At 36.7% G+C, this 24885-nt stretch overlaps 1 long non-coding RNA gene across 2 annotated transcripts in view, besides 1 other annotated feature; it reads left to right on the top strand.

The window, feature by feature from the left end:
- LOC105373710 (uncharacterized) overlaps positions 1 to 24885 on the top strand; it is an 87864-nt gene that overhangs the window by 47305 nt on the left and 15674 nt on the right. For both annotated transcript variants that reach the window (XR_923510.3, XR_923509.3), the window contains exon 2: positions 22023 to 22108. This is a non-coding gene — a long non-coding RNA (uncharacterized LOC105373710). The remainder of the gene's footprint in view (positions 1 to 22022; positions 22109 to 24885) is intronic.
- Positions 3056 to 4364: an enhancer, noted in NCBI's record as "VISTA enhancer hs573". NCBI's record gives its function as "enhancer in: midbrain (mesencephalon)[4/5]" and the evidence as "EXISTENCE:transgenic organism evidence [ECO:0001131][PMID:17130149]".

Below are 24885 nucleotides of genomic sequence, written 5' to 3'. Positions count from 1 at the left end.
AAAAAAAAAAAAAAGAAATTGTAATTTTATCTTACACCACACATGAAAATCAACTCAAAATGTAATAACGATGTACATGTGAGACTCAAAGTTTTTTGTTGGCTTATTAGCCATGCACTGGCATCAAGTCTCCTGGGAATATTCAGAACATGTATCACATGTATTTAGAAACAAATCTTATATTTGCTTCAACTCTCTGGCTTCCTCAGCAATGCCTGTTGCCAAGTCACTTGGGGACAACATATACTGAGACTATTTTACTTCTCTCCTGGGTGCCATCATCTCACTGCTCAAATAAGTTGGGCAGTTCTTGGCATGTCAAGCATATTGCTGTGGCCAGGGACACAGTATAGTGTGCAGGATGGCCCTCTCTCCTAACCCAGACCCGAAACACACTGGGTGTTCCAAGAGCCTCACTAAGGCTCCCAAGAAAACAACTCTTCAATTTTTTGTTCTAACCTTTATCCTTAGGGAAACTTGGAGCCAGCTTCTGGGGTCTGTGGATGCAACATAACCTCATTCCCCATCATACTCTAACTTCTTTTATTTTTCATTCAAAAGACAAACTTCTAAAAATAATTTCCGTAGATGAGTGGTCATTTGCAAGCTTGACCACGTTTCTGCCAGGAATTAACTCAGATCACACAGTTTGGAAATCTCTCTCACTTTGGTACCATCTTTTTAATTCACAAATCTAGCAATTCATCACCTCATATTGAGCTAATTGCAAATAGTTAATTGCAAATAACAACCTAGTTAGTCTCTGCACTGCTAGAGTACTTAATATAATTTTGTATATGAAATTTAACATCTATCAATAAAATCTGCAGATTTGTATCTATTGATAAAAATAGAAGTCAAAGAGGATTTTTATAAATAGGTCAATTGGTAGGAAAAAAGGCATTGTGGTTTTGTCTAAACAGAGAGACTTTGCTTCCAACAAGTTTGAAAATCTAAAATAATGCTTTGAATTGTTGCTATTCTGTCCTGATCTCAAATGATATTTGGTTATTCTATATCCCAGAGGAAGTAAATTATCCTACTTTCTTTCATTGCATTAATTAAATATTGGAAATACAAGTTCAACATTTCCTTTTAGGTTGGCTGTCCATTGGCACCACCAGAAATAGGCGTTGCTAATGGTAACATAGGATTGAGAAAGTATTTTTTCCTTCTTTGTCATTATTTTAAGAGATATTTTAGTTGATAATATTACACTGATCTGGCTTTATTATCATTTAAATACTCACGTATCAGATGTTGTATGTTAGTGATTACGTATTGCAAGAAAGTTCATTTCTCAAGGAAATTATTAGCCAAAAGTACAACATATTTTTATGTACACAATTAGTTTAGTTACACCTTGATTGTGAATTTATGCTAATACAAAATGCCTCTCATGAGTGAGTCTCTGGAATTATAGCTTAGAGCATGAACTCTGGAGTCAAACTGGCTGAGTTTAAACCTAACTACACTGATTACTAACTGCTAGACCTTGTACTGTTTCCACATCTGTAAAATGGACTAATAAAAGAAGCATCTCAAAATCACTTTCAAAAATGAAAATTAAATGAGGAGATTTTAAATTGATATTGGTATGATGAGAAAGAGGAAATCTACCTCAGCACTGATAATTTTAAGTTAAAACACATAGATGTTAGGTAAAGTAGAATAGTGTGAAGAGATCACTTAAAATTAGTATATCTGGAGAATGTATGTAGTGCCCAGCACTTTAGTGCTCTATAAAGTGACTAAAACACTTGGCATTTTGTTGGGACCTAATACATTTGTTTTGTAATTTGTTACAGGAAAAATACTGGAGAAGACATTTCAAACAATTCCTTGTCAATGTTTTGAGGCATCACAAATCTAGATTTTAGAGCTTGAATCTGGAAAAATGATTTACAATAGCTGGATGATAGACTTTGGCTACAATACATTCGTTATCAGGAAAGAAAAAATTAGGAATTTATGAAACCCTTGTGGAAATGTTTGCAAGCCAAAGTACTATGAATCTAGCTACTAATATCCATCATATTCTCTAACCAAGACATTTTCTGTTTTATCTCTTTGCCTCAACCACCTCATCCACTTTCATTATAACAGTGCTTCATGAAAGAATGTTTTGTCATAATAATTTTAAATGTTTTATATCTCTATCAGTGATTTTAATGAACTTTTTGCAATTTTACAATAGTTGTATGAGTTTCAGAGCCTCAAATTAGATCACATTTACCTTCTTTGCAAGATCAAGTTATCTGTCTATTTGTCCATCATCTATCACAAAGCATAAAGTTGGTCACAATTTACTTGAATGTACCCCTTTGTGCCAGGGAGATGTGGGACAATTTCTTGGTAGAACAGTTCTCTTGTTAACATATATCCTTTAGGAAAAAAGACCACAGATTCTGCCATTTATAAGAAGTACATTAGAAGAAGAGAGGAATCACTTACAGCCAGAAGCTGAACTCCACAGTTCAGTTCTTTAATATAGCAAATGCAAGCCTTCTTTTGTACATGAGTACCATGAAAACATCTTCCAAGAATCACCTTGTGTGCAACAGAGAGTGTAGTGGGCTGGAGGCTCTCAGGAATAAAAGAGAAGACCCCTAGAACCCTGATAAGAAGTGGAACTCTCATGACATTCAGTAAGGGTAAGGAAGGTTAGACCTCTTTGAAGTTTACTAATTTACTTAATTGGTAAACTTATTTTAAACTAATAAACTTAATTTAATTATAAACTAATAAACTTAATTATTAACTGTAACCAAAAGAGATAGAATAATTTATTCAATAAAACAACTGGGATCCTCACAAGACTCACAGAATTTGTTCAGGGAACAAGAACTTTGAAGATGTCCAAAGATCTATAAAGTCTCAATTTTTGTCAAGGGGAACAAAACATTAAGAATCTTTTTGGTATTTGGATTTTAAGCTTTGGAATATGTGGAATGAATTTCTCTTGATGATAAAAACTGCTCTCATGTGAAATGCACATTCAATAATATATTGATGAGGAAAAATCTTCAGTAACACATAATTTTAATGAACATGTCCAATACCAGCTGATCCCACTATAAGGATTCCAGTCTACTTGTAATTTCCTAAAAGTAAATTTACTCTGGTACTGACGTCAAAAATACAGCTCTATCAATGTCACCTTTATGTCAGCAAACAGATTAAATGCTTCTAATATCCAGCATAATGACATTCTGTAGGGTCTAGATCACATTTGTGATAGTATATTTGATACAGTTGTAAACCTTGGAAGAATATGCCTGCCTAAGAGAATAGCTTTTTTTCTAGTCTTAAACACATTACAGTTGCCAGTGTAAATCACTTGTCAGTCTATGGCAAATGTAACAGTGTTTTAATCTGAAAAAAAAGGGAGAAATAAAGTACAGATAATCTTTTTTGGCCATTTTCTTGGCACCATCATACATTGGAGACTGACAGGTCCTTCACTTGAGTGACAGGTGTCCTTTGAAATGCCTGTGAATCAGTATCTGTACAGACTGTTGAAATGCATATTTCCATCCTTATCGTAAAGGAATGGATGGGCAAGATAGGTGCTGTTAACATTGCAAATAGCTCCAGAATTATTCATTGTCAGCTCCAGGCAAAGAATAGGGGGAAAGTTTTATTATTCACCATGCACAATAGCAGGATGCTTAATGATTCTCGGTTACCTTGGCAGAATTGTCTGTCGACTTCAGGCACTAGCAGTGGGTGACACAGGTCTGGCCAAGTGTTAGAGCAAGATCATACATTCTGGTCCCATTTTAATTTCTAATACATTAATCTTTCCCTCCCAGATGCACAATGAATATTCCATAGACTCTTGTTTGTCAGAAGCTGTCTGGCTTTCATCTATTCAGGTGGTTTCATTGACTGTGAAAGCGTGCTTCAAAGGCCTGATCAGTCAATGACAACTGTCTCACAATAGCATTGAGTAATGCTTTCCTTTTTTCTTTTCAGGCATCTGATAGACAACTTTGACACCTGATCTCTGGGGACCTTATGGAGTCACTCAGAGTTCTTAAGAGACTTCCCTTACTTTATCATTCCAGAAAGAATTGTCACAGGTGAATGTATCGCACTTTCTCAGGAGCTGAACCTGACCCTTGAATCCATCTCATTTGCACTGCAGGTTTCACAATGAATTAAAATGGATTAAGTTGGCTTAATGCTGTTTTACAAGCAAGCGGAAAGCACTGCACCATTCATTTTTAATTTTAATCCTTTGTCTTAGCCTGCTAATTACTATTGTTTTAAGTTCATTATCCTGGCGTGCACATTGTTACTAGTTGGATGCTAATGCTTGTAAGCAGTGTTCTTACTTTTGCAGGTACTGACCCTTCAGTTATCAAATTAGTCCATGTCACTGCTGAACAGCTGCCTCTGTAATCTACAATTCTCTCTTTAAAATTTTATTCTTCTCTTGTCTCTAATTAATTAAGCAATAACCCTATTGAAACATCTTATGCACAGACTCAAGTTCAAAAGCATTAACAAGGAGAAAAGAAACTAAAATTGGATATGTGATTCCTCAAGTTTCTCTGACAACCTTGGTTCAGAGGAATTCTATGATGCCACATGTTTTGTCTGTAAAGCTTGCAAAATATGACCATAGAAAGTAATGTGAGTTACATTTTCTGTCTCATCACCACTTGTTTAAAAGTCTCCATTAATTACAACTCAGATGCTACAACACTACAATCAAGAGGAAAGCATAAGGAAGAAAAGATGACATTGCTGAGAAATGATATGGAAAGATGAACCAGTCACAGAATTCAACAAACTCACTTCTTGTACAGATTGAAGTGTCAAATACGATGTCCCTTTTTGATGCAAGGATTATCTCCACAATGTCTTCACAAAGCTCAGTCAGCTCTCTGAACATTTTCTGTGAAGGGAACTTCACAACTTCAGATTACAAAGTTTTGATCATTATGAAGTTTATTTTTATGAATTGCAATCTATCTTCCTTTAACTTCCACCTACTCATCATAGTTCTTTGTTCTGGAGCTGCACACACACACACACACACTCTCTCACAGAAAAGACTACTGCCTTTGCCACATGACTATATTTCAATTATTTGAAGCCTACTAATTCCCTAAGTAGCAAAATTTTAGACCCTTTCACACTCCAGTCAGTCTCTCCTGCATATGGGCTCTCTTTAGTCCTCTTCAATGTAAACTTTCTTATCAGACATTTAAAATAATTTGGAAGATAAACCTATCTTTCATGAAGACCAACAAATCCAACCAAAACATAAATTCTCATCACCAGTTGTTTCAGCCTCCATGAATCTCGACTCACTGGCTTTGCTTCCCTTCCTTATCACAGTGGAAGAAGTCTCCCTGATCCCATAGACTCTAGATTGTCTCCCATCTTGTCTGTCCAAAGACTTTACACTTGCAGTTATCCTGACTCTCACCTACATCAGCAATTTATCCCTTTCTATAAGATTAGTGTAGGCCAGGCACGGTGGCTCACGCCTGTAATCCCAGCACTTTGGGAGGCCAGGGTGGGCAGATCACCTGAGGTCAGGAGTTCCAGACCAGACTGGCCAACATGGTGAAACCCTGTTGCTACTAAAAATACAAAAATTAGCTGAGCTTGGTGGCTCACACTTGCAATCCCAGCTACTCAGGAGCCTGAGGCAGGAGAATCGCTTGAACCCAGGAGGTGGAGGTTGCTGTGAGCTGAAATCGCACCATTGCCCTCCAGCCTGGGTGACAAGAGTGAAACTTCTCAAAAACAAAACAAAAAAAAGATAAAAGATGAGTGTAATAAGAAATCAACTATGTCACTTTCCATTTAAAAGTACTCCCCACTATGATCATAAATTCTCCTTTACCTACTGCTCCATTGTTATCTTCTTTTTCATGGAAAATAAGTAAGTCATTGTCATCACTCAGTGTTACCAGCTCTATTACTCCTCAGGCTACTTCATTAAGGCTTTTGTCACAAAGCTCCCTGAAAATGGTCTTGTCATTGGGTTCCATATTGTCAATGATTTCTTCTTTGTTCTTTTTCTCATTTACTCAGTTTCTGAGGAGCATTTGGATGTCTTCCCCTCTTGAAACATTTATTCTCTTAACTTTAGTTGTGCCATGACATGTTGGTTTACTTCGAACATCACTGGCTTCCTTGTCCCTTCATGTTCAATTTTCTATGCTGGCTTCCTCTTCTCATTTTTACCTCTGTATTCTGGAGTTGCTGATCCTTGGCCTTTGGCCCTCTTCTCTATCTACATTCACATCTTAAGTGGTCAATGTCTCCCTAAATTATACCTCCAATACTGGACTCCCCTGAGAGCTTTCCCACTTAACCTCTCCCCTAAATTGTATAACAGACATTTAATCCCTTCATGTTCACAATGAAACATTTCACTTTGTTTCCTGTAATGATTGATTATGTAATTAAATCAATCTCTCCCCTTCCTCAATCCGAGATTTAGTTAAAAGAAGTAGATAAGATATATTAATATTTCATGTCCTCTGAAAAGTGACAGAAATCTGATGAGACAATATGAGATTATTGGGTCAAAAGTGGAGATAAATTTGAAATTGAGAGAGGCAAAGGGGCATGCTAGTTGGTGCAAAACGAGAATAGCAATCAAAACTCAAGACCCATAAAAATTTGGGAGTGTAATGAGAGATTTTCTCAACAATGGTCTAGGGTACCAAAGAATTTCATTCCTTGGGGAGAGGATAAAATAGAAGGAAACAAGCCCTCACATGACTGAGTTATCTGGAGGGAACTTCTGGCCATACATTTAGTTTAAGTTGATCTTTGATTTCTATTACTTCCAGGATCCTGGCAGAATAAATCATAAATTCTCTCTAGAGGCATTAGCATCCACTCTAAGCCTCAAATTATAGTTACCAATATATTTTTGTCACACAGCTTAAGATAACCAGGAGCACAAGGAAATAAAATACCATGAAGGAAAAACACCAAAACAAACAAACAAGCAAATAAAACTATACATACTTTATGTAATGAACGTGCCATAGACAGATTATAAAACAATTTAAAAAGAGGAGCTTGAGCTTGAGCTTATCTACAGGTAAAACTTTAAAAATTGCAAAGCAAATTAAAAAAAATACGTAGGATTACTAGAAATGAAAGAAGCAAAATTTACATTAAACTTACAGAATTAAATCTCAATTATCTCCTTCCTCTAAAATCCCCCTCTCCACCCAAATCTGTTCCATTTTAGATAATAATAATATCCTTCATTCACTCAGATGACATTTCCCTCATCCCTAACATTCAATTCATCGACAGTGCTATTGATGATACCTCCAGAATTTGTAATAACCTGATAATTTTTCAGCATTTTTACTGCTATATCTCAGTCCAAGCTACTATAGTCTGGCACCTGAACTTTTGAAATATCCTATTAAATGATCTCCTTGATTCTATCTTTGTTCTCTTCTAATTTTTCTCCATATAGCGTCCAGAGAGATCTTTGAAAAATATAGATCCTATAGATCCTCCTTTGCAGAACCCAATGGCTTCTTCCTGCTGCAGAGGCTTACAAAGTCCTATATGATCTGATTCCTAAAATGTTTTCCTTCAGGATCTTGCTCCTAAAATATATTCCTTATACCATACGCTTAGCTGGCTTTCTTGAGCATACACGGTTAACTTTGCCCCCGACCTTTTCCACTTACTGATGTACCCTTCTGTCATACAGGGTTTAGCTCAAATGTCATCTCCACATCTAAGACTATCTTAACCACTCTATCCAACCTTCCCACTTCTTCAATCATAAGTTTGTCCACTTGTTTTATTTTTGTTATTGCATTCACCATAATCTGAAAATATCTTATTAATCATTCATTTACTTATACGAATATATCTGTCTGGTTCACTGTTACATTTCCAGAGCCTAGAACAGTGTCTGGTAAATAGTAGGGGCACAAAAATATTTGCAGAATAATGAAATGTATTTACTTTTATCTTATTATTGACATAACTGACAAATTTAAACAAACGTTTGTGTAAAAGTGTATAATTGGAAAACCACAAACTTTCACTAAAACTCTAATAAGCTGGAGGGAAGGAGCATTTACAGTATATTCAAAAGGCCTTGAGTTTGTTTGCATCATAATAAGGCCAAAATTATGAAAATGTCTACAGCTTAAGTATTGAATATACAACTGCTTGTAGGTATACATTCAAAAATAAACTGGTTTATTGACCAATAAAGTATCTTTCTGATTAAATTTGTACATGTTATAGAAATTTTAAAATGGCTAAATAAATGACCAACATAGGAGTTCAATAAAGAAAGCACTTGGATTTTAGGAAAAGAATGAAATGGGTCATCAAAGAAGACAACTGATGAATGACCAGAGAGAAGGGGAGAGGGTACTTGGAAGAAAAGAGGAAAAAATTTAGGACAGGAAAAAGGCTTTCTTACTTGGGAATAGAGAAATCTAAATTATATGGAGACTTGTGCCGTGGGGAAGGATAAACTAGAACGGTATTTGAAAGACAAGACAAACTTACCTGAGAGTTAAAGATACTCCTTTAAAGGAAAAGTGGAACGCATTTGGAAATGGGTACCAAGGAAACAAAGGAATCGTATTAATTGACAATTGCTAGCACATGGAAAGTGCGTCCTCCGTGTCCAGCTCAGTTGGAAGTCCTTCCTGTGTGCCCATGTTCAAATTTCATAAGAGCCCCAGACATAGAAACTGTGCTTAATCCCCATTTTAAAACTGAGGAAGTATAAGCTTAGAAAGTTAAAGAACTTGTGCACGTAACCAATCATTTCGTGATGGAAGCAAGACTTTGACTCTCATCTTTCTGATTCTAAAATCCATTTTCTAGCTCGTTGTATCTTACTGAACATTGTAATACTTTCTCTTCAGTCTAATTCTAGGGTGTGGAAGTTCCCCAGCAAAACCATAAAGGTTTTCTTTTACAAATCCCTTTTAGAAACTTGCCATTGCTTCCTCATGTGTGTGCGTACGTGTGTGTGCACACGCATGTGCACCAGTGATTCTGTTTGTAATAACATGTTTAATTTACAGGGCCTGAGGTTTTCTTGGCAGGCAGCCATCTATTCTCACCTTCTCAAGCTTGCGGCTACAACAGTTGACATTCTGTTTTCCTTCCTGCTCCTTTTAGATATTTCTTCCATCTGATTAGTCATTTAAAATCTTCCTGCAGTGTTTGTTGATCTTCACCTGTTTGTTGCTTTTCCTGTGTTTAGAGGTTAAAATGCTGTGTTGGTGCAAGCTTACTAAAGCTTAACAAGAGATGAATCCACACAACCATTTGAACTAAGCAGATCGCAAAGTGTAGTTTGAAGGTTGAATAGCTTAATGGGGTGCCTGCCTTAAAAGAAGGAGAAAATTTTAATGGGTTTAATCTATAGAATAAGAGACTCAACATAAAAAAGTCAAAGGCCAGTTATACTAGTTGTTTAATAATGGTTTCAATAAAAAATATCTTTTAATTTGCTAGCAGCAACCCCTGTGTATAATTGAATTTTATCAAGTCTCAGAATAAATTTGATTATTACTGCTAGCAATAACATTTCTAAACAGTGTATCTGAAAGTCTTGGGAACGCAGCTTACTTGTAACTTCTAAATATATAATGGGATAAACCAGGCCACCTGGATCCCCTAAACTCTGAGAATCAACAATCTGAATCAAAAACTGCATGGACTACATTTTAGGCTGTTCTATTTATTGAAACTACCCAAGAATGATTAGTAAGTTTTCAGTAGATATTACACTCATGCACCGCATAATGACATTTTGGTCAATGACAGATCATATATACCATGGTGGTCCCACAAGAGTATAATGAAGCTAAAAATTCCCTATCACCTAGTGATACTGTAGCATTTGTAACATCATAGTGTAATGCATTATTCACATGTTTGTGGTGATGCTGGTGTAAACAAACCCATTGTGCTGCCAGTCCTATAAAAGTCTAGCACAATTATGTATACAATTATGTATAGTACATAATACCTGATAATGATAATAAATATGTAACTGGTTTATGTATTTACTATACAATACTTTTTATCCTTATTTTAGAGTACACTCCAGTGACTTATAAAAAAAATAAAGTTAACTATACAGCAGACTCACTTGGGTCCTTCAGGAGGTATTCCAGAAGAAGGCATTGTTATATTATCATAGGCAATGACAGGCTCCTTGAGTGTTACTGCCCCTGAAGACCTTCCAGTGAGACAAGAGATGGAGGTGAAAGACAGTGATATTGATGATTCTGACCCTGTGTAGGCCTGGGCTAATATGTATGTTTGTATACAGTGTTTATAAAGCCTAAAGCAGCATGCAGTAATGTCCTAGGGCTTCACATTTACTCATCATTCACTCACTGACGCACCAGAGCAACTTGCAGTCCTCAAGCTCCATTCACAATAAGTGCCATGAAAAATGGTGCAGGTGTACCATTTTTTATCTTTTATACCAGGTTTTTACTGAACCTTTTCTATGCTTAAATATGTTCAAATATACAAATACTTACCATTGTGTTACAATTGCCTGCAGCGGTCAGTACAGTAACATACTGTACAGGTTTGTACCCTAAGAGCAATAGGCTATATCATATAGCTTACACATATAGTTGGTTGTACCACCTAAATTTGGGTAAGTACACTCTATGATGTTCACACAATGACAAAATTGCCTAAAGACATATTTTTCAGAACATATCCCCATCATTAAGCAATGAATGACTGTAATACAATGAAGGAAATTCTAACCTCTTTGAAGTGAAAGTAATCAACAATGCCCCTAATAGCTTTATTGGATAGAGACAAATTTTACTTTAAAGAGTACAGCTGCTATGGTTTGAATGTAAACTCCCAAAAGCATGTGTTGAAAACTTAATGCCCAATGCAACAGTGTTGGGAGGTGGGGCCTAATGGTAGGTGTTTAGGTCATGAGGGCTCTGGCTTCATGAATGGATTAATGCCAATTATAAGGGACTTGAGGCTGCAAGTTCAATCTCTTGCTCACCCTTGCATTCTCTTTGCCCTTTCACCATGAGGCGATGCAAGAAGGCCCTTACAAGATGCTGGCCCCTCAGTCTTGGACTTTGCAGCCTCCAAAATCATGAGTCAGTAAATTTCTGGTTATTATAAATTACCCAGTCTGTGGTATTCTGCTATAGCAGCATAAAACAGAATAAGACAATAAATAGTTTGTTGCTTGTTTTACACTAATTGGTATCCTCTTAGATCACCATTTCTTTTTTTTAACAAATCATTAAACACATCATAGGGCCTTCTTTCTTCCTGCATAGCTTACCAAAGTGTGGCTATAAAACTAAGTTGTGGCCCCTATTTCAACCCTCATTACTAAAAATTCCTCTGCATTCACAGCATGCCTACCCTTGGCCAGGAACATAGGGCCAGCGATGTTCTAGTTCTTTGTTTGTGCTGCCATCTTTTCTTTCCCATAAGACCACTCTTTATCATTTACTTACTTTATTTTTGGCTTCCCACAAACTTTGGTAACTTTGGTATCGGCATTAACATATTTTGTGTAAGAGTTTTCCCCATCATTTTAGGAGACTCCAAAAATACTTGTGAAGCTACCACTTTAGAATCCCAATCCTTCATCTTTTCAGCTCAAATATCATTTTTTTTTCTATTCCACTTTGACAATTTGTATTCATGGCTACCTTAAAGAGAACATGCTTATTTCTGAAATCTTAAACTCATCCATCTTAGCTCTGTCTCTCACACCCACTGCATCCTTCATTTATCTTGACTTCCTCCTCATTTCCTCTGTAAGTCATTTCTCCTTTTGTTTCATTGGTCTTTTATTTTTAATTTTTATACTTTTTTTATTATTATACTTTAAATTTTAGGGTACATGTGCACAATGTGCAGGTTAGTTACATATGTATACATGTGCCACGCTGGTGCGCTGCACCCACTAACTCATCATCTAGCATTAGGTATATCTCCCAATGCTATCCCTCCCCCCTCCCCCCACCCCACAACAGTCCCCAGAGTGTGATGTTCCCCTTCCTGTGTCCATGTGTTCTCATTGTTCAATTCCTACCTATGAGTGAGAATATGCGGTGTTTGGTTTTTTGTTCTTGCAATAGTTTACTGAGAATGATGATTTCCAATTTCATCCATGTCCCTACAAAGGACATGAACTCATCATTTTTTATGGCTGCATAGTATTCCATGCTGTATATGTGCCACATTTTCTTAATCCAGTCTATCATTGGTGGACATTTGGGTTGGTTCCAAGTCTTTGCTATTGTGAATAGTGCCGCAGTAAACATACATGTGCATACGTCTTTATAGCAGCATGATTTATAGTCCTTTGGGTATATACCCAGTAATGGGATGGCTGGGTCAAATGGTATTTCTAGTTCTAGATCCCTGAGGAATCGCCACACTGACTTCCACAATGGTTGAACTAGTTTACAGTCCCACCAACAGTGTAAAAGTGTTCCTATTTCTCCACATCCTCTCCAGCACCTGTTGTTTCCTGACTTTTTAATGATTGCCATTCTAACTGGTGCGAGATGATATCTCACTGTGGTTTTGATTTGCATTTCTCTGATGGCCAGAGACGATGAGCATTTTTTCATGTGTTTTTTGGCTGCATAAAGGTCTTCTTTTGAGAAGTGTCTGTTCATGTCCTTCACCCACTTTTTGATGGGGTTGTTTGTTTTTTTCTTGTAAATTTGTTTGAGTTCATTGTAGATTCTGGATATTAGCCCTTTGTCAGATGAGTAGGTTGTGAAAATTTTCTCCCATTTTGTAGGTTGCCTGTTCACTCTGATGGTAGTTTCTTTTGCTGTGTAGAAGCTCTTTAGTTTAATTAGATCCCATTTGTCAATTTTGGCTTTTGTTGCCATTGCTTTTGGTGTTTTAGACATGAAGTCCTTGCCCATGCCTATGTCCTGAATGGTAATGCCTAGGTTTTCTTCTAGGGTTTTTATGGTTTTAGGTCTAACGTTGAAGTCTTTAATCCATCTTGAATTGATTTTTGTATAAGCTGTAAGGAAGGGATCCAGTTTCAGCTTTCTACATATGGCTAGCCAGTTTTCCCAGCACCATTTATTAAATAGGGAATCCTTTCCCCATTGCTTGTTTTTCTCAGGTTTGTCAAAGATCAGATGGTTGTAGATATGCGGCGTTATTTCTGAGGGCTCTGTTCTGTTCCACTGATCTATATCTCTGTTTTGGTACCAGTACCATGCTGTTTTGGTTACTGTAGCCTTGTAGTATAGTTTGAAGTCAGGTAGTGTGATGCCGCCAGCTTTGTTCTTTTGGCTTAGGATTGACTTGGCCATGTGGGCTCTTTTTTGGTTCCATATGAACTTTAAAGTAGTTTTTTCCAATTCTGTGAAGAAAGTCATTGGTAGTTTGATGGAGATGGCATTGAATCTATAAATTACCTTGGGCAGTATGGCCATTTTCATGATATTGATTCTTCCTACCCATGAGCATGGAATGTTCTTCCATTTCTTTGTATCCTCTTTTATTTCATTGAGCAGTGGTTTGTAGTTCTCCTTGAAGAGGTCCTTCACATCCCTTGTAAGTTGGATTCCTAGGTATTTTATTCTCTTTGAAGCAACTGTGAATGGGAGTTCACTCATGATTTGGCTCTGTTTGTCTGTTGTTGGTGTATAAGAATGCTTGTGATTTTTGTACATTGATGTTGTATCCTGAGACTTTGCTGAAGTTGCTTATCAGCTTAAGGAGATTTTGGGCTGAGACAATGGGGTTTTCTAGATATACAATCATGTCATCTGCAAACAGGAACAATTTGACTTCCTCATTTCCTAATTGAATACCCTTTATTTCCTTCTCCTGCCTAATGGCCCTGGCCAGAACTTCCAACACTATGTTGAATAGGAGTGGTGAGAGAGGGCATCCCTGTCTTGTGCCAGTTTTCAAAGGGAATGCTTCCAGTTTTTGCCCATTCAGTATGATATTGGCTGTGGGTTTGTCATAGATAGCTCTTATTATTTTGAGATACGTCCCATCAATACCTAATTTATTGAGAGTTTTTAGCATGAAGGGTTGTTGAATTTTGTCAAAGATCCAAAATTGACACCCTAACATCACAATTAAAAGAACTAGAAAAGCAAGAGCAAACACATTGAAAAGCTAGCAGAAGGCAAGAAATAACTAAAATCAGAGCACTACTGAAGGAAATAGAGACACAAAAAACCCTCCAAAAAATTAATGAATCCAGGAGCTGCTTTTTTGAAAGGATCAACAAAATTGATAGACCGCTAGCGTGACTAATAAACAAAAAAAGAGAGAAGAATCAAATAGACGCAACAAAAAATGATAAAGGGGATATCACCACCAATCCCACAGAAATACAAACTACCATCAGAGAATATTACAAACACCTCTACGCAAATAAACTAGAAAATCTAGAAGAAATGGATAAATTCCTCGACACATACACTCTCCCAAGACTAAACCAGAAAGAAGTTGAATCTCTGAATAGACCAATAACAGGAGCTGAAATTGTGGCAATAATCAATAGCTTACCAACCAAAAAGAGTCCAGGAGCAGATAGATTCACAGCCGAATTCTACCAGAGATACAAGGAGGAACTGGTACCATTCCTTCTGAAACTATTCCAATCAATAGAAAAAGAGGGAATCCTCCCTAACTCATTTTATGAGGCCAGCAGCATCCTGATACCAAAGCCTGGCAGAGACACAACCAAAAAAGAGAATTTTAGACCAATATCCTTGATGAACATTGATGCAAAAATCCTCAATTAAATACTGGCAAACCGAATCCAGCAGCACATCAAAAAGCTTATCCACCATGATCAGGTGGGCTTCATCCTTGGGATGCAAGGCTGGTTCAATATACGCAAATCAATAAATGTAATCCAGCATATAAACAGAACCAAAGACAAAAACCACATGATTATCTCAATAGATGCAGAAAAGGCCTTTGTTTCATTGGTCTTAACAAAATTGTCTGCTTCTGATTTTCAGATAAATGTTTTAGTAAATTTAAAGGAAAGAACTTCTCTTATAAGAAATCCTAGGGAATATTTGCTCCCTCTCTCATTTCTCTCATAGTTTTTTCCAGAAAGTGTGGGAAAATTCTGTAGTCATAATTTATTATTTAATACATTAACTTAATTTTTAGAAATCTATATTATTTTTATCTTCCAACATTTTGAAACTCCCTGTTCATTCTTTTGTGCACCATAGGCTGATTTCTGCTACTCCTACTCTGCTGAAACCCATCTCTCCAAAGTCACCAATGACATACTCAACATGAGCTTTATGTTGTTAGACTTCAGTCTAGATATTTAATACAATTAATCACTCTTTCTGTCTTGGATTTTTTTACAATTTTAACTTCCATAATGCCACTCTTTCCATATGTCTGTGCTACCTCCTTTGCCTTTATCTTTCTTGTTCCTTGACACACTTAGTTTGTTTAATTTCCCTTTAAATATTGGTTTTCCAAGCAGCATGCCCTTGGCACTCCCTTCTTCTCACTCTACACACTCTTCTTATGAGGTTTGCTCTAAATCTTTTACTGAATCCTAACTATTACTATTTATATGCTAAAGATCCTCCCACATCTCTGACTTCTTTCTTGAAGACACATCTACACAAACGCCTACTGAATATCTGTTCTGTACGTTTTAGAGGCATCTTATACTTAATGTGTAAAATCATTGTCTACACACTCCCCTCTCCTGCCTGTAATAAACTCCTAAATCTGCTCCTTTTCCCATATTCACCAATTTGGAGATTAGTATTACCACCTGCTCAGAATGGAAGACATCCCAGAAAACTCCCTCTCTGCTTGACACCTTGTCACCACATTCTCTCCTTTCTTCCTTTTACACATCTTCTCTACCTTTCTCCACTGTCATTGGTTTTCTCAAGTTCCCTTTATTTTTTTATGTGAACTACAGCAGTGGCTTCCTGTAGCTTGTCTCATTCTTGCTAACCTGCCCTCTACACGGCTGCTATCTAATTGTGTTACTCCTATGATTAAAATCCTCTAATGCTTTTCTGCTGCTTGGATAAAGACCAAGACAATATATAATGCCTTCAAAAATCTGCAACTTTCCCTTCACTTACTTCCACGTTAATCTACCAAACTGATATTCAAGCCACATTAGCTCCAATTGTTTCTTTTTTGTATGATGTTCTCTCACCACCTTCAAGTTTCTCCCATCTTTCTTTTCTTTTCTACCAAGAAAGCTTCTACTCATTTTCAAAGGTTCACTAAAGTTATGTCTTTTTGAGTAAGCTGCTGTTTGCTGTTGTAACTTTGTGTACCTACCTCTAGCATAATTCCTGTCATTATAACTGCCCTTTTTAATGTACTGTATTTTTCTTGCAGCCTCCATGTCAGTCATATAATTTCAAATGATGCATAGCAAATATGTGCTCAATTAATATTTATTGAATATACAGGTAGATAAAATTATAAAAGTCAGGTGAACCTAGTTTATGCCATTTATCCCTTTAAACTATATTTAGATACAATCTTAATCTACTGCCTTTACTGGGGAAAAAAGTGTAGGTCAAAAACTGACAAATTATACAGTATAAGAATATTCCGTTTAGAAATTAACATAAATGAAAATGAAAATCTGGTAGAAAAAAAAATAGGCCCTCAAACTTGAACAGGAAACAATTTATCTAAACACCTTTATCTAGAGTAGGTTATCACACTAGTTCTTTCATGAAAAATATGATAAGGCTCAAAAAAAGACTGGCTTATTAGTTAACGCAGATCCCATTCACATTCCCTAAAGTTTGTATTCGGATGATATCTACTGATATTGTCGAAACTCTTTTTCTTTCATTACAGTCAGCAGGGCCTGCCAGTGAACAATTTCAGGAAGTACATGTAAATCTTCAAACCATCTGTATTATAGTCCTCAACCTCGTTTTCATAGGAGAGTTTTCTTTTTTTCTTTTTTTTTTTGACGGAGTCTTGCTCTGCCCCCAGGCTGGAAGTCAGTGGCGCGATCTCGGCTCACCGCAAGCTCCACCTCCCGGGTTCACGCCATTCTCCTGCTTCAGCCTCCTGAGTAGCTGGGACTACAGGCGCCCGCCACCACGCCCGGCTAATTTTTTGTATTTTTAGTAAAGACGGGGTTTCACCGTGTTAGCCAGGATGGTCTCGATTTCCTGACCTTGTGATCCACCTGCCTCGGCCTCCCAAAGTGCTGGGATTACAGGCATGAGCCACCTTGCCCGGCCTTCATAGGAGAGTTCTAACAGAAGTACATAATTTTAGTGTCTTTTATTCTGAGATGATGTGTGCCAATGAAGGGCACAGGCAACCTTTTTACAAAGTGATGTTGACACACATCTGCTCAAATACATTAACGTTTCCATTCCAACTGACTCAGTTGGCAGGAAATAGCTCACTCCTCTTTGTGAATAAAGAACTAGGGAGGGGGCACTGGAAAGGGGATAGGCATTTTACAATTCGTCAAGATATGTATTCCAGCACTTATTTAAAAAAAAAATTAGTACTGAGTCCAACTTGAGCTAATAAGCTAATGACTGCTTATCCTTTACTATTAAGCTTCAAAGGAGCTCCTAACTAAATGAGCCAATTGTTATATTGCCATGTATTTTTTATTCCTTCCTGTTAAATCATGCATTTGGTGTTATATAGAAGTTTTATGCTTATTAGAAAATAACCAGTATGTATGAGCTTATGAAAGGAAACCTCACTCAGATTTTTAAAAAGCAAATGAAAACCTTCAAAACTAACTGGTGCCATATGGTACACTCAGAAACACTTGTAAAAGGAAAGTTAAACCTTGAATATATTAATGATTTCTTACTGAAAGAAAAAAAAAAGCCTCTATTCCATCTTTGCATGTAAAAAGACTTCTGAATAAGGCATTAGATAACACTTTTCTTTACAAAAAAGTAAATTCAGTAACATAAACCTTGTCTTGGTTTTATCATTATTATTATCTTATAAATAGTGCATGGTTTTGAACAAAACAAAACATTAACATTGTGTCTTAATACTGCCCTAGAGGCTTAAAAGATCTCGTAGGTGATTTTCTACTTATATTTTTTCATTGTATTTCACAAAAACTTTTTTTTTTTTTTTTTTTTTTTAGATGAAGGCTTGCTCTGTTGCCCAGGCTGGAGTGCAGTGGTGCGATGTCTGCTCACTGCAACCTCTGCCTCCTTGGTTCAAGTGATTGTCCTGCCTCAGCCTTGTGAGTAGCTGGGACTACAGGCATGTGCCACCAGGTCGGGCTGATTTTTGTATTTTTATGAATAGTAGGATGGGGTTTTAACATGTTGGTCAGGCTGGTCTCGAACTCCTGACCTCAAGTGATCCGTCCACCTCGCCCTCCCAAAGAGTTGGGATTACAGGCATGAGCCACCGCCCTGGCCCTCAAAAAAACGCTTTCATCTGACCTTGATATAAAGATATGTGCACAACAAGCCAACCAGCCACTTATGATACACACTAATGTGCCTTTAGAGGAGGGAGTCTTAATTCCCTGGCCACTCATTTTTTGCCTCCACATGAAGTCTCTTTCTCTAATTTATACTAATATGTAAATCATCTACTGAAGAGTCTGGTTTGATTCTTTTCCTTCTCTTAAAATGCAAATGTCAACCATGCAGAAAGTGATGAAAGCAAAGAATCATTAGGTTAATGGAGAACACCTGTACCTCTATACCCTTTTCTCCATATCAAATTGTCAGTGTTAAACTGTCCTATCACTTAATAAAATCAGGATAGTCCTTTAATTTTCAGTGTATTGAATACTGTATGCACTAATATACATACCTTCTTATTCTTATGTATTAACACAGCTCATTTGTTGAGATGGGACTGTATTTTTCTATAAAACGAAGAAAAACCTATGAGACTGGATTATTTTTTCTTGACCTACTGTACACTGAGAGTTTGTTTTGCTGTGGAACATAGCCTTCACTGTGGGACAGAATCAAACTCTGGCAAAGGGTCTCAGCATAAACAGCCACTCACCATTCCATTTCACTTTAAGCTGCATGTGCAATAAAATGATACCTTCTTCCATTTTTCCTAGGAACTTCTCTTTTATTCATGATGCATGGAAAAATGTGTGTTTTCCAAAACTACTGGGTATTTTTCCCAGGTCTTTTAGGCAATGATTGTTTTCTGAAGAGGCAATCAACACCTTCAACACACTTAAATTGCTCTGAACATCTCAGTGAGTTTCTACTGTTCCTTACATTGGGAATCAAATATTTGACGTGATATTTCTTTAGTTAGCAACATGATTTGACTTTCAAGGAGTTGCTTTATATTTTAACACTTATTTTCAGATATCAAGAAGATGTAGATTTTTAAGGTGATAAACCAGATGGCATTTAAAAATATGTTTAATTTATTTCTAAACAACAATTGTTAAGTATCAGCAGTAGAAGTTAAGTAGCAAAGGATTCACTTAATTTATTTGATCATCTGTGTGCCTCCAGAGTGAGACTCTATAATTTTTTGCATGTATGCATGGTTTAATGAACCTAAAAATGGAATAAAAATGACAATTGAGAAAAGTAAAGTGGTCGTGAAATATATTACATAGTATGAGGACTATTAAAAAGGTACCAATTATACTGCTTATTTTGATGAAAAAAATAAAATTATATTTCTAAAATCAGAATGTGATTTAATTACCTAGGTATAAACTGAAATCTAATTATGTCTGCAAAAATAAGAATTATTCAATTTTTAGTCATTTGGTAGTTTATAGGGCTTCCTCACAGGCCCACAAAGAGAGATATTAAGAGGTTAAATCTATTCTCCTGGTAAAGGTCTGGAACCCTTCTAATTCAAATTGTGACCTAAAACTTAGCTTATATTGCAAAAAATTCAAAGTAATACATAACTATGTAAAAAAGAAAAAGGAATACTTGCAGCAAATACATACTAACAATAGCTAAACTTTGCAGAAAAGTGCCTGGCAGCAAGTTCTGGGTTTTACCTGGGGACAGACTGCAGGGTAAGAGAAGAAGATCAAGGATACGGAAGAGTCAATTGCTTATGGAACATTTTCTGGATTGTCATTCAGATCCCACTTCATCATTAATCAAACATTAAAATAGAGCAAGAGTATAGGGGTTTCATATGGGAGAGGCAAGAACTCATAGGAGAAGAGACTGGTAAGCCTCGGGTGACCAGATGAGATTTTTGAGTTCATGAGAAGTTTTTTCAGGCTCGCAGCTCTCTATGTAGCTTCACATTATGAGTGGACAAATCAGAAAACTTAGAACTGGACTCTTTCTATAGCAGGAATGTGACTATAAATCCTTGAAAATAAAAATCTTGCTTAAATTTTCTGGAATATTACTAATGACTGAAAGGTGCTCCTTTCTCACCATTGTTAACAGAAAAATAACAAAGGCGGAAGAAAGAAGAACACTAAAATGGAAACACATTTAAGAGGAAAGCAAAACAGAGCAGTAATAGGCTCATTCTAATACAACAGAAGTCATTTGACAGGAGTTTGGCAATGAATTTACCTGTGATTATAGAGAAAGCATATTTTGCCATTACCAAATAGAATTCCTAGGGGTGAGATGAATTTCTACTTGCTCTTTGCCTGCACAGGAGGCTTTACTCTTTCTTTATATATAAATTCATACTGAAATATGTGTACAGAAATTTTGTGGCTGTTCAAAATTCCACTTGTTTCTGATGTTCAACTTACGTATTAAAAGCTCATAAAACTTACATATTAAGTTGAACATCAGATATCACAAGCATATTTGGACATAAATTTAAAGTTGGTTGCAATAGATAAAAGTCTAATTCTCTAGATACTAAACAAACAGTTTTGTATCTTTTGGCCCCAGGATATTTCATGTTCTTGTTACAGGATGCGCAGTGGACCAGATGACTTTGGAAGGTATCAAAAGTTCTTATTTCAAACCATGCTTTGTGAAACACAATCACATTAGCATTTGATGTGTCCTCTAGTATTTTTGTAATTGTCTCATTTTATTACCAAGTTGAATATTTAATTTTGCACTCCACTTTTTTTCACTTGCTAAAGCACAAATGTTTCCACGACATTACATATTCTTGGTCATCAGGATTTTTAACGACTAAGCAACGTTGCATTTTGTGGATTTGTTATAATTAACAGGTGTTTTATAATTATATATTTAAATTATTTTTAATTTTTCAAAACTAAAATATTTTCCTGAGGTATTTATATGCATGATACTTTTTTTTGGTCAGCTAGCGTGAGAATAATTAAAGAATATTTTCAGTAATGGAATTATTGGGTCAAAGGTTATGACTTGCATCTAATTTTTAATTACTTTTAAAAATTACACGAGTAACATAGGAAATTCAGAAACAAAGCAGTATGAAAGTACTGAAAGTGAATGTGATGTTCTCTTTTTGTTTTCTGTTTCATGTCTCCCCTTTCACTGATCATCTTAATTTTGTGTCATTCTTTCCATTTTCAATGCTTTTACATGTGCATATGTACACAAGGTAAAGTTTTTGTTACACAAATAAAATTATATACATTATTATATACCTTATTGTATCTTACTTTACATTGTATCTTTAAAAAATTTTTAAAGTACCCTAAATCTTCTCATCCAAATATTTCTGTATTAATGAATTTTTATGTTATAGATACAGGAAGTAAGAATTCTAACGTTATAAAGTGTAAGCAGTCTCCTCCAGTTATCATCCCTCCTTCCTTCCCTATTCCTCTCTTCAAAGGTAATGCTCTTAAAAAATGTTCTGTGATTCTTCCAATTAAAAAAGCATTAATTGTATTTTAACTTTTTTATAGCTAATTATTAATAATACCTTGAGTATTACTCCAAGTTTCAATATTATTATACTAAGAAATAAATTGTAAATCAGATAGATGCTGATTTTCTCAGTGGTTTATAAGGTTATGAAGGGTGAGACTTTCTCCCAATTATGACAGATTGGGCTAAGATTCGAATTATTAATATGGTCCCTTTATTTTGCAGAGAAGCAGGCAACGTGGCTCCCAGGAAAATGGCTTGAACAGAACCCATGAGAGGAAGGCTGTCAGTTCATGGAAGGGTTATTCATGGTGAGACCTGCTTGAGAGATTAATCCCATGCAGGATGCCCCTAGTGTTGCCTTCAATTAGATTAGAAGCCATAAAGCAGCTTGGGAGTGTGGTTTTCACCAGAGTGAATGTAAAGGACAAAGGGTAAAGGGTAATTAGCTCCTGACCTGAAAGAGCTCATAAAAGAAGGAAATTCCAGTAAAACAGTTTACTTTGGCCATTTCAGTAGTGTGTATGTGTGTGAGGCAGTATGTATTCATCAGTAATAGGAGTCTATTTTGATTAGAGTACACCATGGCAGGTAACACACTCAAATGGCCACATGGGCAGGCAGTCACACAAATGAGTGAAGTAGGCCTGGGCTGGTGAATGTGGGAATACAGGCGCCACCCAAAGGTCCAAGTGTGGCTCTACTCCTGTCATTTGGGGCAAGGACAGAACACGGGCTGAAGGTTACTTTATCATATGATGCCTTAAGAGATCCAAAAATAGGAATGTTCTTCTGAAATCTGTGAAATAAATGTTGGCAAGTATTCAATTTTGAAACAATATATAAGCCAATCAATATGCTTCTATGTAACAAGCCAAGTGCAAGAACTTCCAGGTTGTTACCTCTCCCTAAAATATTTAGTCCATGCTACTTATGTCAAGTCTTTTAACCATAAAAATCATATAAGAAAACCTAGGCAATACCATTCAGGACAGAGGCATAAGCAAAGACTTCATGACTAAAACACCAAAATCAATAGCAACAAAAGCCAAAACAGACAAATGGGATCTAATTAAACTAAAGAGCTTCTGCACAGCAAAAGAAACTACCGTCAGAGTGAACAGGCAACCTGCAGAATGGGAGAAAATTTTTGCAATCTACCCATCTGGCAAAGGGCTAATATCCAGAATCTATGAAGAACTCAAACAAATTTACAAGAAAAAAACAACCCCATCAAGAAGTGGGCAAAGGATATGAACAGATACTTGTCAAAAGAAGACATTTTTGCAGCCAACAGACACATGAAAAAATATTCATCATCACTGGTCATCAGAGAAATGCAAATCAAAACCACAAGAGATATCATCTCATGCCAGTTAGAATGGTGATCATTAAAAAGTCAGGAAACAACAGATGCTGGAGAGGCTGTGGAGAAATAGGAACGCTTTTACACTGTTGATGGGAATGTAGATTAGTTCAACCATTGTGGAAGACAGTGTGGCGATTCCTCAAAGATCTAGAACCAGAAATACCATCTGACCCAGCACACCCATTACTGCGTATATACCCAAAGAAATATAAATCATTCTACTATAAAGATACATGCACATGTATGTTTACTGCAGCACTATTCACAATTCCAAAGACATGGATTCAACCCAAATGCCCCTCAGTAATATACTGGATAAAGAAAGTGTGGTACATATACACCATGGAATACTATGCAGCCATAAAAATAATGAGATCATGTCCTTTGCAGGGACATGATTGGAGCTGAAAGCCATTATCCTCAGCAAACTAATGCAGAAATAGAAAACCAAAGACTGCACGTTCTTACTTATAAATGCGAGCTGAACAATTAGAACACAGGGAGGAGAACAACCCACACTGGGGCCTGTCAGGGGGACAGAGGGAGGGAGAGCATCAGGATAAATAGCTAGTGCATGTGAGGCTTAATACCTAGGTGATATTAAAATATTAGCTAATTATTTATAAGACAAATAATAAGATTTTGGAGGGTCTGAGTCTGGCCTTGGCATAGGTAAACAAGGGGTCACTCATAAGTTTCCTCTTAATCACATAAGAAAGGGTAGTTCTTTGCAGAAAGCTGTTTCTTAGGACACAAAATGTTAAGGGGTAATTTCTTAATCACCACTTGTGGTGGCTCATATTAGGTGTCAACTTGACTGGATTGAGGGGGATGCCTAGATGGCCGATGAAGCATTGTTTCGGGGTGTGTCTGTGAGGGTGCTGCCAGAGGAGACTGACATTTGAATTAGTGAGTTGGGAGAGAAAGACCCATGCTCATCATGGGTGGGCACCATCCAATTGGCTGCCAGTATAGCTAGAACAAAGCAGGCAGAAAAGGGATAAGTAGCCTGTTTGCTGAATCTGCTCTCTGCTCCCTCCTCCCCTTCCTTCTCCTCCCCCCTCCCCCCTCCCCCCTCCACGTCCTCCCTCCCTCCCTCCTTCCTCCTCCTCCTCCTCCTCCCTTGGACATCGAACTCCAGGTTCTTCAGCCTTTAGTCTCTGGGACTTAAACCAGCAACCTTGTTGGGGCTCAAGGGCCTTTGACCTCAGACTGAGGGCTGCACTGTCAGCGTCCCTGGTTTTGAGGCTTTCGGACTTAAATTGAGCGACTAACAGTTTCTTTCTTTCCCAAATTTGCAGATGGCCTATCGTGGAGCTTCATCTTGTGAGCTAATTCTCCCTAATAAATTCCTTTATGTATATATAAAGGTTCTGTCTCTCTGGAGAACCCTGACTTATACGTCACTGTTCTCCAGGAGCACAGTGCTTAGGTAAATTTTAACATTGTCAGGAGCATTTCAACCTGACCATTCCTTTCAGGGAACAGCAAACTTCAAGTTTTTAAAATATATTTCAAAAGTCAGTAATTAATTCTGAAAATTAATAACCCTGTTGAGAAACTAGAATATTTTAGTGTATCATATTTAAGTAACTGAAAAGCTGAAATGCAAAAGACTAGATAACATCATCGTGATAATAAAAGAAAATTTGACTTCCATTTGTTTTCTCCATAAATTTATATTGCCTCTCAATTTCTTAGATGATGACTTTCCTCTTC

This window comes from Homo sapiens, chromosome 2 (assembly GCF_000001405.40).
Source record: "Homo sapiens chromosome 2, GRCh38.p14 Primary Assembly".
NCBI classification, from domain to species: Eukaryota; Metazoa; Chordata; class Mammalia; order Primates; family Hominidae; genus Homo; species Homo sapiens.
This window is presented reverse-complemented; position numbering and strand designations above follow the sequence as displayed.